This window comes from Homo sapiens, chromosome 6 (genome assembly GCF_000001405.40).
Source record: "Homo sapiens chromosome 6, GRCh38.p14 Primary Assembly".
NCBI lineage: Eukaryota > Metazoa > Chordata > Mammalia > Primates > Hominidae > Homo > Homo sapiens.
This window is the reverse complement of record NC_000006.12, coordinates 38,584,942-38,600,157: the sequence shown is the minus strand read 5'-3', so window position 1 is coordinate 38,600,157 and position 15,216 is coordinate 38,584,942. Positions and strand designations below refer to the sequence as shown.

The 15,216-nt window shown below is 39.1% G+C and overlaps 1 protein-coding gene and 1 pseudogene across 13 annotated transcripts in view, besides 1 other annotated feature; one reads left to right on the top strand and one right to left on the bottom strand.

Moving 5' to 3' along the window:
* BTBD9 (BTB domain containing 9) overlaps positions 1 to 15,216 on the top strand; it is a 471,479-nt gene that overhangs the window by 39,772 nt on the left and 416,491 nt on the right. For 8 of the 13 annotated variants that reach the window (NM_001099272.2, XM_047418145.1, NM_052893.2 and 5 more), the window contains 3 exons: positions 2,037 to 2,248; positions 5,831 to 6,194; positions 7,318 to 7,582. In NM_001099272.2, the coding sequence (NP_001092742.1) occupies positions 2,064 to 2,248; positions 5,831 to 6,194; positions 7,318 to 7,582 (814 nt within the window). In that variant the 5' untranslated portion in view covers positions 2,037 to 2,063. Of the gene's footprint in view, positions 1 to 149; positions 269 to 2,036; positions 2,249 to 4,090; positions 4,389 to 5,782; positions 6,195 to 7,317; positions 7,583 to 15,216 lie in introns of those variants that run through there. The other 5 variants (XM_047418146.1, XM_011514279.4, XM_047418148.1 and 2 more) reach the window with 3 other exon arrangements.
* TFGP1 (TFG pseudogene 1) lies at positions 11,432 to 12,878 on the bottom strand (annotated as a pseudogene).
* Positions 12,007 to 12,204: a silencer, noted in NCBI's record as "fragment chr6:38555730-38555927 (GRCh37/hg19 assembly coordinates)". NCBI's record gives its function as "represses an EF-1alpha promoter that drives an FKBP-Casp9 reporter gene in an ReSE screen in K562 erythroleukemia cells {active_cell/tissue: K562}" and the evidence as "EXISTENCE:reporter gene assay evidence [ECO:0000049][PMID:32094911]".

Below are 15,216 nucleotides of genomic sequence, written 5' to 3'. Positions count from 1 at the left end.
AAGTTTTCCAGCTCCTATATTACACAGTTGTTGTGTGTACACATTAAGACTACTGTGTCACACATTACTTGCTCATACTCTCAAATAGATCCTCTTAAGCTGAATTTGGTCTTTCATACACAAGTGACTAGAGATTATTCTGTTTTTAGGGCTTTCAAATGGAGGCTGCAGTTGAGGGAGAAGGATTTACCTTGGCAGTTAAGGGATTATCCTGCTAGTTCTCTGATGTTCCTACTGTAGAGAACCAGGATTTTGCTCACTTACCTGGGTAGGTGTTTTCTTGCTTAGCTCATTTTCCATGTTCTTCTGCATCGCTGCTATTGCTCCCCCTTTTGAGGGTGGGCATATGGTGGTAGGTTAACTAAAGCAGGCAGATTCGGAACTTGGTCCATGAAGATCTTCCATTGCAGTCACAGAAGAGAAAGACTATTTTTGACACACCTTGCTAATAATGATCTGGATGTGGGAGTTTAAAGATTAAGAGCTGTTCAACCTTTAATTGTGGTTCAACTGGAGAGCTCAAAAAGGTGTGGAGGTCTAGCAGAGATAACATATCTGTCTCAATTTCTCTAGTCTCTGATGCAGCAGAGGCGTAGCTGGCTACCTCTGAGCTATCAACTACCTCTTCACCGGGGGCATCTGAATGCTAGCCAAGCCTCTGACATACTTGCCAGTTACTTACACTTATCAAAGCAGTACCTGCAATTAGCTGGCCATGATGGTGTACACCTGTAGTCCCAGCTACTTGGCAGGCTGAGGTGGGAGGATCACTTGAGCCCAGGAGTTCGAGGTTACAGTGAGTGGTGATCACGCCACTGCACTACAGCCTGGGCAACAGAACAAGACCAACTTTTTTTTTTAAGTACCTGCAAGTACATTCGGTATTAAAAAATATAAACATTTTTAGCTTTCTAAGACTATAACCCCCCACTTTCTTACACGTAAAGCTGTTAATCATATTTTAGCCCTTTGATTTTCAGTTAATTTTGTAGAAAGGCATTGTATACAAAAGCAAGGAAGGTGCCTGGAAATGAGACAAAATGTAATGATGTTCTGGTAAACATTGGCAGCCTGATCATCAGAGCAACAAGTTTGGAAAAGAAGCCACAGTCTTGAGAAAACTGTTGGAATTACTCTTTTGTTGGATGTGGGGAGCTTAGGATGCTACTGCAAATGTTCATTAATAAATGTCAAGTTATTTTTGTGACTCCAGAAGATTATTATTATTATTATTTTTTTTGAGAAGAAGTTTCGCTCTTGTGGCCCAGGCTGGAGTGCAATGGCGCCATCTCGACTCACAGCAACCTCCGCCTCCTGGGTTCAAACGATTCTCTTGCCTCAGCCTCCGGAGTAGCTGGGATTACAGGCATGCGCCACCAGGCCCAGCTAATTTTGTATTTTTAGTAGAGATGGGGTTTCTCCATGTTGGTCAGGCTGGTCTTGAACTCCCAACCTGAGGTGATCGACCCACCTCAGCCTCCCAAAGTGCTGGGATTACAGGCGTGAGCCACCGTGCCTGGCCCCAGAAGATTTTTTTTAAATGAAATATTTGAGATGGTTTCGTACCAAAACTTCTTATTTGAAATCTGATTATTTCATTTATTCTGTTTGTAATTTAGGCCTAGATCGGTGCCTGAATGACTTTTCTATTCGGTATAATTGTACCCAACCTTGCTCAATATATCTATGTAAAAGAGAAGTTATTCTGATTGTTGATTTTTCTTTTCCTAAGGTACTGTAAGGAATATGAGACCTGTGTTTGGGCTCAGTTTTCTAGACTGTGATGGCTCCAAGTGCTGTTAGTGTTTGGAGATCTGGCATTTTTGCTTTGCTAGTGTGATGAAGGGAGTACAGTTAAGGGAAGCAGGCTGAATTCCTTCTCAAAATAAATGGGTTAATAAGGATACCATTGATTAACTCTCTCATAGGAATTTTTCTAAGCACTTTAAATTTTTACTTAGCTGTGTTTATGGTAAGTGATTTTCTATGTGTACTCCCCTCCCCCAACTAACTCTCATTCCTTCTTTATATGATAGAACAACGACTATCGTCTATTCCACAAGATGAGTAACAGCCACCCTCTTCGCCCCTTTACTGCAGTGGGGGAAATTGATCATGTGCACATTTTGTCTGAACATATTGGTGCCTTGTTGATTGGGGAAGAATATGGCGACGTCACATTCGTGGTGGAAAAGAAACGTTTTCCTGCCCACAGGGTAATTTTAGCAGCCAGGTGCCAATATTTTCGGTAAGTGTGTAATACTTTTTTTGAAAATTTAGTTCACTTGTAGAAAACACTGGTATTTTCTGCTCTATGAAAAATATATAACCAAGTATAATGACAAAGTCTTGCAGTCTCTCAATTCAATATCTATGAAGATTTCATCCTTGTAGACTTTGTTATTTTTTGAGAATCACCTTTTCCTTTAGGAGCCACCTTAAAATTAAAGGGTTAGAAGGATTCCCAGACCAAATAGTGCCCAATCAACCATTTTTCAAGGTCTCAAGAATGTTTCTCAGGCTAAGTCTTCGTTGCCCTCACTGTCTCCTCCCAGTAGATGGCTAATGGGACTAAAGCTTCTTTTTGCATAGGTAGACTGCCCTGTGGACCTGCTAATGGACACATATACCCCTTGGTTTGAGGTCTAGGAGCTGTTAGTAACCCAGCAGATCTAAGACGTGCACTTGTATGCAGCTGTTGTTGGTTACTTGGGTCCTTAATTTCCAGGGTTATAAATCTTAAGCTGATCTTTAACTACTCTACATTTTACCTAATATTTGTCAAAAGGGAGTCATCACTGAATTAATTACTGAGTGAGTTATAATTTATGCATGATAATGGATCTTTTTCTATTTTTAAGGATAAAGATGGTTCACAGAGTTATAGATTTATCTGGGAAACTTGGTATCTAAAATGGAGATTCCATTGGATTAGAGAAAATTTCAATTACCTTGTAGTGATAACTGCAGTGTCTGGCTTTTATAGTCAGAATTAAGCAAGACAGCAACACCTAGAGTCAGACATGTTGTGGTAAAGTGTGTCTCCTGGAAATATTTACTCTGTAGCTAGAGCTCCTATGGTTTTTCATGAACTTCCAATCTTACACATGTAAAATGCCACTGTAGATGAAACCGGGAGCTTAGAAAAGTGAGGAGTCTGTTAAAAGTTCTAGCACTCTCCTATTCTTCCTAGTGGTCAACTCTGCCAAGGCATCCGACCTTGGTCTAGCCATTATTTGTTATCAGCCTCTGTCCTCTGCACACTTTTCCTTTTATATTTCTTCCTCTTTTTAAAATTTTGGTCCAGTCATTACTATTAAAGTGTTTTATAAGAGCCCACTTTTTTTTTTTTTTTTTGAGACGGAGTCTCACTCTGTCGCCCAGGCTGGAGTGCAGTGGCGCGATCTCGGCTCACTGCAAGCTCCGCCTCCCGGGTTCACGCCATTCTCCTGCCTCAGCCTCCCGAGTAGCTGGGACTACGGGCGCCTGCCACCACGCTCGGCTAATTTTTTTGTATTTTTAATAGAGACGGGGTTTCACCGTGTTAGCCAGTATGGTCTGGATCTCCTGACCTTGTGATCCGCCCGCCTCAGCCTCCCAAAGTACTGGGATTACAGGCTTGAGCCACTGCACCTGGCCAAGAGCCCACTTTTTATTAAGTCAGAACTTCTCAGCCTGTGTTTATTGTTTATTAGTACAGTGTACCTTGTCCTCTTTCAAAAATAATTTGAAACAACTCTATGAGGATATCTTTTAGGTGATTAGTATATCCTTAAAAAAAACTCAAATACTTTGAGAAATTTGAAGATCGTATTGAGTGAATGGAATATACTCCCCCCGCTTATTGACCTTGTTCTTGATGTCTTTGTAGATATTGAACCTTCGTAATATTTGCTGGCTCACTAAGCTAAGCTCAGAGTCTACCTTAGACTATCTTAGAGCTAAGCTCTACCTCTAAGTCTACCTTAGAGCTAAGCTCAATGCTACCTTAGACAGGTTCTCAATGCTGACTGTATTCATGTGCAAAGGAATGTTAATTGTCAGCTGTCAGAAGAGGCCTAAGTGCTGTCATAATAGCCTATCAATTCCCAGATAAGGAATTGTATAGGAGGAAACTTCATAGTAAACATTGAACCTCTGTGCTTGTCTCCTTGTTGAAGTTGGGGGTTCATGTTTATTGTTCCAAGGGAGCCTCATCAAAACCACTTTTAAAGCATTGAGAATCCAAATAAATACCATGGATCATACAGGATTGGGGATAAGTCTTGAGGTCTCCCCGAGAAGGAGAAGTTCTTTAATTTGGTAATTTTAGGGTAATGGTTGGATGCTCTCTGGATTAATGGAAACCTTCAGGGGTACTTTTAGGCAGAGTATAACCCAGTGAAGAGGTATGCTCAGAATATTCATGAATCTTTTCTGGGTGGTTTCAACTATTTTTCTGGGGCAAGCAAGAATGCTAGGTCCTGGGGGAGGGTGGGACAAGTTCCAGGTAGGTAAACCTGAAATGCTAGTCCTACTCTGAGAATTTTAGCAACACGGAGAATCTCTTTCTTATTTCCAGTCTCTTCCTCTCACTTTTGCATCTTTTCTTTCTCATTCTGTATTCTTCTCTCCCTTTTCTGCACTTCTCCCTTGTCCTCTTCGTCCTTTCTTTCCTGATAGATTGGAAGTTTAATTGGTTCATATTATTCCTCTTGATTGATAGAGGTAGAAATTCAAATTCATTACCTAACTGGATTGTCTAGTTTTCATTTTTTTAGATAAGCAATAATGTAGGGCTTTTTGTTTAATCTGAAAGGAAAAAAATAAAAAATCACTGTAATCCTATCAGTAATTTCATTTTTAATTTATAAAGTAACAGATGAAAGTCTTTGTCTCCCAGCCATCTAATACCATTTCCCAGAAATAAGTGATGTTAAGAGTTTAATATGAATTTCTTCTGATTTTTCTTGATTTAAAGAAATACCGATGTAGACATATGTGCATAAACATGTAAATATTTGGTTATGTACTTTTTTAATGCAGTACATATGGATCTGCAATTTTATTTACTTGCCTACCATATCCTGGACATGTTTTCAAAACAGTACCTGTTGATCTCCCTTGATCTTTCTAATGGCTGCATAGAATGCGTATATCACAGTTTTTTTAACCATGTTGCTGCTGATGGACATTCAGATTTTTACTAGTGTTTCAGTATGTTTTCTTACACATTTTTCTTTACTGTATTACTTCCCTAGAATTGAGTCCTAAAAGAGAGATTACTGAGTTGAAGGGTATGCACATTTTAGATTTGACTAGATGCTACTAAATTACTTTCCATAAAGGGCTGCCATTTATACTCTCAAAGCAGCATATCAAAGAACATGTTTTTCCATTGCTTTTGCAGCACTGATATTAACAAGCCTTTTAATTTCTGCCAGTCTTACAGGGGAGAATGGCATCATATTAGTGTTTATCTGATTATATCTTTTCCTATAGAGTTTTACTTTTTAAATTGCCTTATTGACCTTTAACATCTTTATATCAACTTCATTGTGCCTCTCAAAAGATCACTCTCATCTTTCTATTTAATATCTGTCACATATCTTGAGCTTTCAGAGTATCTCATTAGTTCAGTGGCTTACAGAATTAATTCAAATAGTTTTAAAATCATTCCTCTTGTGTCCTGTAAAGAACCATTTTAAATGATTACTTTGCATTTTTTCACTTGGATCTTTGTGTCATTAAAAAAATTTATATTTGCATAATGTTGATAACTGTTATTTCCAATATTTTGTAGCAAATCCTATTTGAGGGTTTCTTCATGTGTTTCTTCCCTGATGTGCAGAGCATTATTATATGGTGGAATGCGAGAGTCTCAGCCTGAAGCAGAAATTCCTCTCCAAGACACCACTGCAGAAGCATTCACAATGCTACTCAAATATATCTACACTGGGCGGGCAACGCTGACAGATGAGAAGGAGGAGGTGCTGCTGGACTTTTTGAGCCTGGCTCATAAATATGGATTTCCAGAGCTAGAGGATTCTACCTCTGAGTATCTCTGCACCATACTTAACATTCAGAATGTCTGCATGACTTTTGATGTTGCCAGTCTCTACTCACTTCCCAAGTTAACTTGTATGTGCTGCATGTTTATGGATAGGAATGCTCAGGAAGTCCTCTCAAGTGAAGGTTTCCTCTCCCTTTCTAAGGTGTGTCATTTGTCTACAAGTAATTTATAGGCATGCATTGTTTTATTTATACCTATACTGTAGAAGTATAGCAATGGACTAAGAATAATAAAAAAAATCATTGGTATCAAAGCGTTATCATTGGTTATCTGGTCTAGCCACTTGCATCTAGCTACCAGGACTCTAGATCATAAAAGAGAGGGGCTGGTTGGTTGTGTTTTCTTTTAAGGTTCTTCAGGTAAGTTTTATGTGCAAAAGAGACTGTGCTGCTGTGTGGTTGTTTTCAAGGTAGTGACAATCAAATAGGGTCCTTTTTGGTATTGCATACTACCTTTTGGTTTTGTTTTTCTCTGACAGAGAGTGTGACTAATAATTCCTTAGAGCAAGCAGGCAAATTCATAGAGGAGATCTGATGCAACATTTGATGTCTTTAAGTCCCTGCTTTTTTTGCTGGCTTAAAATTCAGTATTATAGCTAGAGTAAAACTGTTTTGCTCAAATCTTCCTTTGAACTCTGGGTAGTGATTGTCTCTCCATTTGCCTTGTTGTGTTCCTTCTAGAACCTGGATATTTCTAATGAGAAAAATCTATTGAAAAGCTACATATCTTGATTTGAGTGTAAATTAAGATCTGTGTTATCCTATTTCATTTTTTTCTACTTAATTTTTAAAGACAATGATCTTTGAGGGTTGCAACATTGTTCCTGGAGGTCAGTTTGGAGATCTGAGAGCCAAAAGTATGGTAGTGAAGTAATACTGTGGAACAAAATTTGAATTTTAAATGCCAAATATGTCTTTCTAACTTAACAATGTACACTCTCTTGAAGAATCTGAATGTATTGACAGCTTTTCACTTTGGCGTTTTTCTTTTTGCTGTTTTAAAAAAGATGAATGCAGATGTGTTTGGAAAGATTAAATGTTTGATGTAGTGGTACAAGATACCTGAACATAAAAGAATGGTGCTACCGTCTTGGTTGTTTACACAGCCATAATGAGTAGGAGAATATGTGGCACAAAGCATAAGGGAAGGAGAGGGTCAAAAAGAGTTAATTGGCTAAGTTATACTTGTCCTGTAAGCTTTTACTGATTGGTCATGCAGTGGTTGAACTTCATATAACTGGAATTTTACCTTTTTATCCTTTTCAGACAGCACTTTTAAACATCGTGTTAAGAGACTCATTTGCAGCTCCCGAAAAAGATATTTTCCTAGCCTTATTAAACTGGTGTAAGCACAATTCAAAGGAGAATCATGCTGAAATCATGCAGGCTGTGCGTTTACCTCTCATGAGCCTCACAGAGCTTCTGAATGTTGTGAGGCCTTCAGGACTGCTGTCTCCTGATGCCATCCTGGATGCCATTAAAGTGCGATCTGAGAGCCGGGATATGGACCTCAATTATAGAGGCATGCTCAGTAAGTACCTGTCTATCCTAAACTCAACCAAGAAGCTTGGTATGCCTCTCATGCCATTAAAACCGCAAAGCTACTACAGAACCGTGTAGTGCAGGTGTACATGAAATATGTACGTTTATAAACAGCTAGCCTATGGAATGTCTTTCCCTTTCATTTTCCTGTTAATTCCTCCTGAGATTGATTAGCTTTTGTAGACCCCCAAATAGGTATTTCTTGCCATTCCTGGACAGATTTCTCAACTCCTCCCCAGAATGTCAGAAATGGACACTTTCCTAAAAAGCTGCTGCTCATGTTAAGACCTTTTCTTCCTTCCTCCATCAAATAAATACTGAGTACATTCTATGTACTTATTATTTTGGGTACCATGAACATGGAGATTCTTTTTTTTTTTTTTGAGATGGAGTTTCACTCTTGTTGCCCAGGCTAGAATGGAAGTTGCAATCTCGGCTCACTGCAACCTCGCCTCCCAGGTTCAAGCGGTTCTCCTGCCTCAGCCTCCTGAGTAGCTGGGATTACAGCCACCCGCCACCACACTCGGCTAATTTTTATTTTTAGTAGAGACGGGGTTTCACCATGTTGGCCAGGCTGGTCTCAAACTCCTGACCTCAGGTGATCCACCTGCCTTGGCCTCAGAAAGTGCTGGGATTACAGGCATGAGCCACCACGCCCGGCTGAACATGGAGATTCTAAATAACAATAATAATAGCTAACACTTATGTAACATACATACATAAGGTAGCTAACACTTATGATACTTATCACCACTTAAGTGGTGATTTTTCTTATTAATGGATTTATAGCAATTAACACTTACAGAGTGCATAGTATGTATCAAGAACAGGTCCTACACGATTTAATTCTCACAACTCTTTGAGGTATATACTGTTATTGACTCCATTTTACACAATGAGGAAACTGAAACAGAGAAGTTAAGTAACTTGCCCAAGGTCACACAGAAAGATGACAGAGCTGAGAGTCAAACCTATGTAGTTTGGCTCCAGAAGTTGTGTAATTAACCACTAAACTATGCTGCATAATTGTTAAACATAGTCTCTGCCTTTGATCCTTTTAATTTCATTGTGGAAATAAGACATAAACTCCCATGAAAAGTTAAATACAACAATATTCAAGGGAGTACATGTTATAGAACTTCAGAAGAAGTGGCTTGGTATGGTTGAGGGAGATTTCATGGAGGTTATGAAGCTTGAGTTGAGCCTTGACATTTGATTTGAATAGTATAAGAGTTGGGTGAATTTCAGATGGGAAGAATCATGAGGTTAATAGACAGAGGTTAGAGCATTTGAAGAGACCATAAATAGAAGAGCTTGATTAGAGTAGAAGGCTTTTATTGATTAATAGCAAAGAAACTATGTGAAGGTCAGCTTAGGCCAGTTTATGGAAGTCTTGGAAACTAGATTGGAATCTCCCTTACATGCAGTGAGGAACCAATTTGAGAGAGGGAGAGTGGCATGCATGCAGTGGTGGTTTTGAAAGACTGATCCATAGTGCTGTATTTGAGTATTTAGAATAGGGGAAAACTGATTCAGAGAGACCAGTGAGGAGAGTATTTAATCTGTGCACAATTGATACTACCTCAAACCAGATTGGTGGCAGGGAAAATGGAAAATAATGGATGATTAGAACGGATACAATGGAAAAAAATAGATCTTGATGATTCAAGGGATATAAATGTGGGGATTAAGTTTAGGAGAAAGTTACCATTTGTTATCAAATCTAAGAAGCCAGAAATTCTCAGGCACCATTATTTTATGTTCCACTAAGAAAAGAAACAATACTGCCAATTAACTGTGACACACTATGATGTCTACACTGCGATTTCAGAAATTTAAAAATTTGAACACTAGGTATGTCTGTAATGAAATACAGTACAGTACTTCTTTGAAGAAGATGCTGAGCTTGATTTTTAGATTGAGTTTGAGGGTTTTGGGGTTGCAAGTTGTAACTTCTGTCCCAAACTAGTCATTTCCCTGAGTTATCTCTTCTTGACTATGCCTTTAAACATTCTCTTGAAATACTGATTGATCTTAAATAGATGTTCTTAACAGAATTCTCTCCTGACTTATCAGGTCTAGATTTCTTTTCACTGGGCATAGGAGAAGAAACATAGGTTTTGGCCCAGACAAATTTGACTTCAAATCCTGAATTAGTCACTTACTAGTTGTACAATCTGGTATTAAATTATTTAAGGAATTTTACCTTTTATATCTCCTAGCATTGTTATGAGACTTAATTAAAATAATGTGTGCAAGCTCAATATAGGAAACCATTGTTACCATATATCATTATGATGTGTTTTTTTTTCTGTGTATATCTGTGTGAGAATTACCACCTTGATCACATTGTTTTAAACATTTTTGTTTACTTGTCTTTGATCCTTGAAGGCAGAGATGATCTTTATAGGCCTTATTGATCTCTATATCCTCAACATTTAACACACCAAATAGCATATAATGGGTAATTGGTGAATGCTTGGTGAATGCTTAGTGAATGAATGCAGGGAGAAATGTCTAATAGGAAATAGGAACACATTACTCTTTAGGACCAGTCAAAGCTGGTGATAAAAGAGTTGAAACCTGAGCTGCTAGAGTATAGAAAAAGAAGTAAAAAACAAAGTCTGAAACTTGGAGAAAACCTATTGCCAGGGGACTTAAGGTAGAGAAGGAAGAAGGAAGACATTTGGGATAGAATAGAGTTACAGAGGACAACCGGAGGAGAGAGCTTTCCTATGGATCCAATGGTCAATGGTAGCTCACGATAGGGAGGTCAAGAAAATTGAGAGACAACTTTTGGATATAAATTGTGATTAGTTGATAAGTAATCTGGACAGAAGATTGGCTGCCAGGGAATTAGGCCATGGATGTTTGAAAAGATAATAGAGATAACATATTGTCTGTCTGATTTGTGAATTGGATTGTAAGGTAGTAAAAAAATAGTATGGTAGCTAGAGAGATCAGGTTGGGAGAGGTCCAGGAAGAAATCAGAGGTGCTAGAGAATGGTACTAGTTAAGTGTCAGCCTTGGATAAAGTGTGGGAGGATGGCAAGTGAAGAGGTAGTAAGATGAGTAATTAGTGTTAGGCTTTTCAAATTATCATGTCGGATCCTGTCTTATATAAGTTCCTTTCCCTCTCTTGCCCTGCATTTGATTTGAAGTGCTGAAAAGGCCCTAGAACTGGATTCATTATAGGGATAATCTTGGGACATGTTTGCAGGAGTGAGGATTTGTTTTGGACATTTCACATGGTTACTGGTAGTTTGGAATTGATCAACTGGTCAGTATAAGGGTAGTACCTGGGTTACAAGAAACTCAGGAGATGAGTTGCGAAAGGGAGAACTTAGCCAGTTGAGTCACTCAGTTCTGGAATGACACATACACAGATTGTTGTTCATCAATGTTAAATTCTTCACTTTGAAGTGAATGAGGGGGAGCTCAAGGAAGAGACTATGTAAATGTTTGGGAATCCTTTATCTAACTTCTGAACTTGAGTAATGATTAAGTAAGTCTGTTTTTCCTGACTTTTAAAGCATGTGAATAATAAAATCAATAATATAAATACAAGGAAGCATTACACTTCCCTGTCAGACCCTGAAAAGATAGGTTTTTTTAATTCAATCATCTTTATTAATCTATCAGTCTTACATTTTATACATGACATCTAGTCGTATTCTAAAAGGGCTCTACTTTTAGTACATCATGTTAATAGCAGAAAGCCAAGTAAGATGACTAAACCTTACACTAGCATTTTAATATCCTCTGGACAAGGGAAGCTAGGTCAATCACTTTACATACATGTAAGAGTAGTGTTCCAAAATAACTAAGAAGTTGCTATATTTTTAAGCAGGGAGGAAAGAACTTTGATTTTGGTCTTTGTGTTCCAGCAAATTATACTTTCAATTAACAGCAACAAAGATATAACAAATGCTCTGCTTTTAAAATTTGTGAACTTCATTACAGATTAAAACAGTACTGGAGTCTTTTGGGAGGCCAATAGCTAGCAGCTACATTAATTGGTGTAGATAAGCCTCGTTATCGATAACCAGGTCCAGGTTTGGTATAGCCCTGACCAAAGGGAGGACATATAAGGATTAGGCCCAGTTGGAGGAGGGGTCATGCTACTTACAGGAAGTGAAGTAAAACTTGATCTTGGTCTATAGGCCCCAGGTTGGCTTGGAGCCATTCTAGGTTGAGAGGCAGGGGCCACAGTATAATTAGTAGGCTGAAAAGTTTGGGTAGTATAAATTTGTGCAGGATAATTGCTTGCCTGGTACTGTGTGGCAGCTGAGCAGGCAGTTGTTGAGGCTGACCAAAAAGGCAGGAGCTGGTGCCTGGGTAGTTGGTTGCTGGCCATATCCTTGGAACTGCTGAGGTTGTTTGGAGTCCAGTCTGCTGACTCTGGCTTTTTGAATACTGAATACCATACTGTTGAGGCTGCTGAGGTAGAGCCCGCAGACACGGTGCACCATAGCTAGCCTGTTGCTGGTACTATTGATACAGCTGACTTTCAGTCTGACCTGCTTGTATCTTAGCTTCTGTATATGGTGGTTGCTGTGGCTGAACTCCTGGTGGGTGAGCTGCTACTGAGGAGGAGGCGGCAATGCTGTCAGATGTTCCTGAACAGTCTTCTGCAGGAGCACTGGGTTGCCCTGAAACCTGATCATCTGTTAAGCCAAATGCCGACGTAACATTATTTTTTATTTCATCTTGGTTTTTTAAAAGGGTCAAAAGCTGACATACTTGCTGCCATAACCTGAGTAGACTGTTTTCCAGAAGAATCCGAAGAAGCAGGCTTTTCTTCCCTACCATTCACAGTAACATTTTCAGGAATATTAGTGGAAGGTCCTGGTTTTCCAGGTGGTTCCAAGCTATCCAATAAGTGATTCACTTTATTTCAAAGTTCTGTCAGTTCTCGACAGAGATATTTCACCTGACTTGATTCAAGGGGTCTTCGTTGGCCATTAACAAATAATGTCAATTTCAGTGTCCTACTACACTGAATTGCAAAGGAAAGATCAGAACTATCAAAAATTGTTATAAGATCGTCATCTGCATCTTTATACTTTATTGTTACTTCAACATTACGCAGAAGTTTTCCCCTGAAAACTCGTTGCATCATTAGCACTAATTCATCATAAGTAATATTAATATCTTCATTATGAATAGGAATTTTTGGAATATCCTCCCCAAGTTGAGCTTTCATGATTACCTTCCCACTTAGGTCCAACTGTCTGTTCATGGTGGACTCCAGGATGTTCTATCTATACAACCCTAGAAAAAGAGGGCTTGTGGAGGCCACCACCGCCACCTCTCCACAGGTCTCCACTGACTGGGCCGATGTCAGGCCGCCAGGCTGGGGTGTTGCAGGGAGTCTGTGGTCACTGACCCCTCGGTTGCCCTCCATGGCCACTGCACCTCACTTGTAGGCTCATGTGGGCCCACCCAATCTCCAAAAATAGGTTATTTTCTAAGTAAATTTTATCCTTTTTTTTTTTTTTGAGATGGAGTCTCACTCTTGTCACCCACACTGGAATGCAACGACACAATCTCGGCTCACTGCAACCTCAGCCTCCTGGGCTCAAGTGATTCTCCTGCCCCAGCCTCCCGAGGAGCTGGGATTACAGGTGCCCACCACCACGCCTGGCTAATTTTTGTATATTTAGTAGAGATGGGGTTTCACCAGGTTGGCCAGGCTGGTCTTGAACTCCTGACCTCAGGTGATCCACCTGCCTCAGCCTCCCAAAGTGTTGGGATTACAGGCATGAGCCACCACGCCTGGCCAGTAAATGTTATCTTAACATTCATGACATTGTTTTCTTTTATCAAATTTCTTCACTGTTAGGGGAAAAAAAGGATATAAAATTTCAGAAGTGTTCCTGGGCTGACGACTTGAAAAGATAGGTCTGTTTATTTTGAAGTTATTGACAGAATTTGGTTTTGTTGTTGTTGTTGTTCAGAATCTGGATGTAGATTCTGTGTCTTTGGGGACTTCTCATGAAGTGTAGAGAGGTTTTATCTTGGGACTGGGATATAGAGACTAATGCTTTTTCTTTGAATTTATTATCGTTGGTTACTGTAAAGTTTAATTCTTAGAGCTGCATGTCCTAAGGCTTTTACCAAATTACAGGGATTTTTTTTCCCCCTTAAAAAAAAAAGATCCAAACAGTGTTTTAAACTTATCTGTGATGGTCTTTCTGGAAGGTAGTTTAGACTAGTTTTATGCATATATAATGATGAACATTTTTCTATACAGCTGGGGAAAGAGAATTAACTTTTTAATGAATTTTTTTTTCTTAGGATATTTGAACTACCTGTACCTCTGCCAAACATTTAGCTTTGTCTTAGCTGTGGAGATATTTCTATCTATCCTAAAAAGTTAGTGCTTTTTTGTTAAGGCTGAGTTATATTTCATTTTGTATATCTCAGGTTTTAGATTTGGGGAAAGAGAGTAATTTCTTGTTTCTGAATGTTTATAGTAGGGAGCATATCACAAATTCTATCCTCAAGATATCTTTATTGAATAAAAAGTCAATCTGTTCATAGGACTGCTAAGTTACATTATTGGTTAACACATAAATATGCGTGTGTGTGTGTGTGTGTGTGTGTGTGTGTGTGTGTGTGTGGTCTGTCCTGTTTACCCTGTACCTATCCCTATAGTTTCCTCAGACTGAGGGAGCTTGCAACTGTGATATTATATTTCTTGGTTTGTTTGCTTAGATTCTTATACTAGGTTGAGCTTTTTGAACAATGTAATTATGTTGTTTTGCCTTTGTTTTTCAAGCACCTACCTAGTAGCACAGTGCCTGAATCTAGACTTTTGTTTTGCTAAGTGATAAATGAGTGGCTGAATGAATCCATCCCTGGCTTCTAAACTAGAATTTAAATTTGTCTCATCTATCACATAAAGACAGTAATAGTAACAGTGAACCTTTAATACTTTCAAAGCTCTTTGAGCTGGGTGCAGTGGCTCACACCTGTAATGCCAGCACTTTGGGAGGCCAAGGCAGGAGGACCGCTTGAGGCAAGGGGTTCAAGATCAGCCTGGGCAATATAGTGAGATGCAGTCTCTAAAAAATTTTTTTTAAATTAGCTGGGTGTGATTGTGTGTGCCTGTAGTCCCAGATGCTTGGGAAGCTGAGACAGGAGAATTGTTTGAGCCCAGTAGTTTGAGGCTGCAATGAGCTATAATCATCCCACCACACTCCAGCCTAGGTGACAGAGCAAGAACCTGTCTCTAAAAAAATACAAGTAAAATAAATAAAACTCTTTGGCTTTGTATCTTCAAAGATAGAAGATGCTATTTGTATCTTCCCAACTATAGTTTATTGTGCTAGAGAAACTATCATCTGTAAATAGGGGATGTATAAATCATCTCTAATGAGTATTCCTCCATGGGAGTGTGTAGTGTCGGTACACATGCTCTTGTCTCCTGAGATGGTGAGCTCGGGAGGGCTGAGTCTAGTACAGTGAGCAGCACATAGGAAGCACCCTAGGATTTTTTTTTTTTAATTTAATAGGATGACGGTCCCTTTCAGCTCTGTGATCTATGTAACTTGCCTAAATTACCAAGTGAATTCAATGCCAGAACTGGAACCAAAGTGCTGGTCTTCTGACTCACCA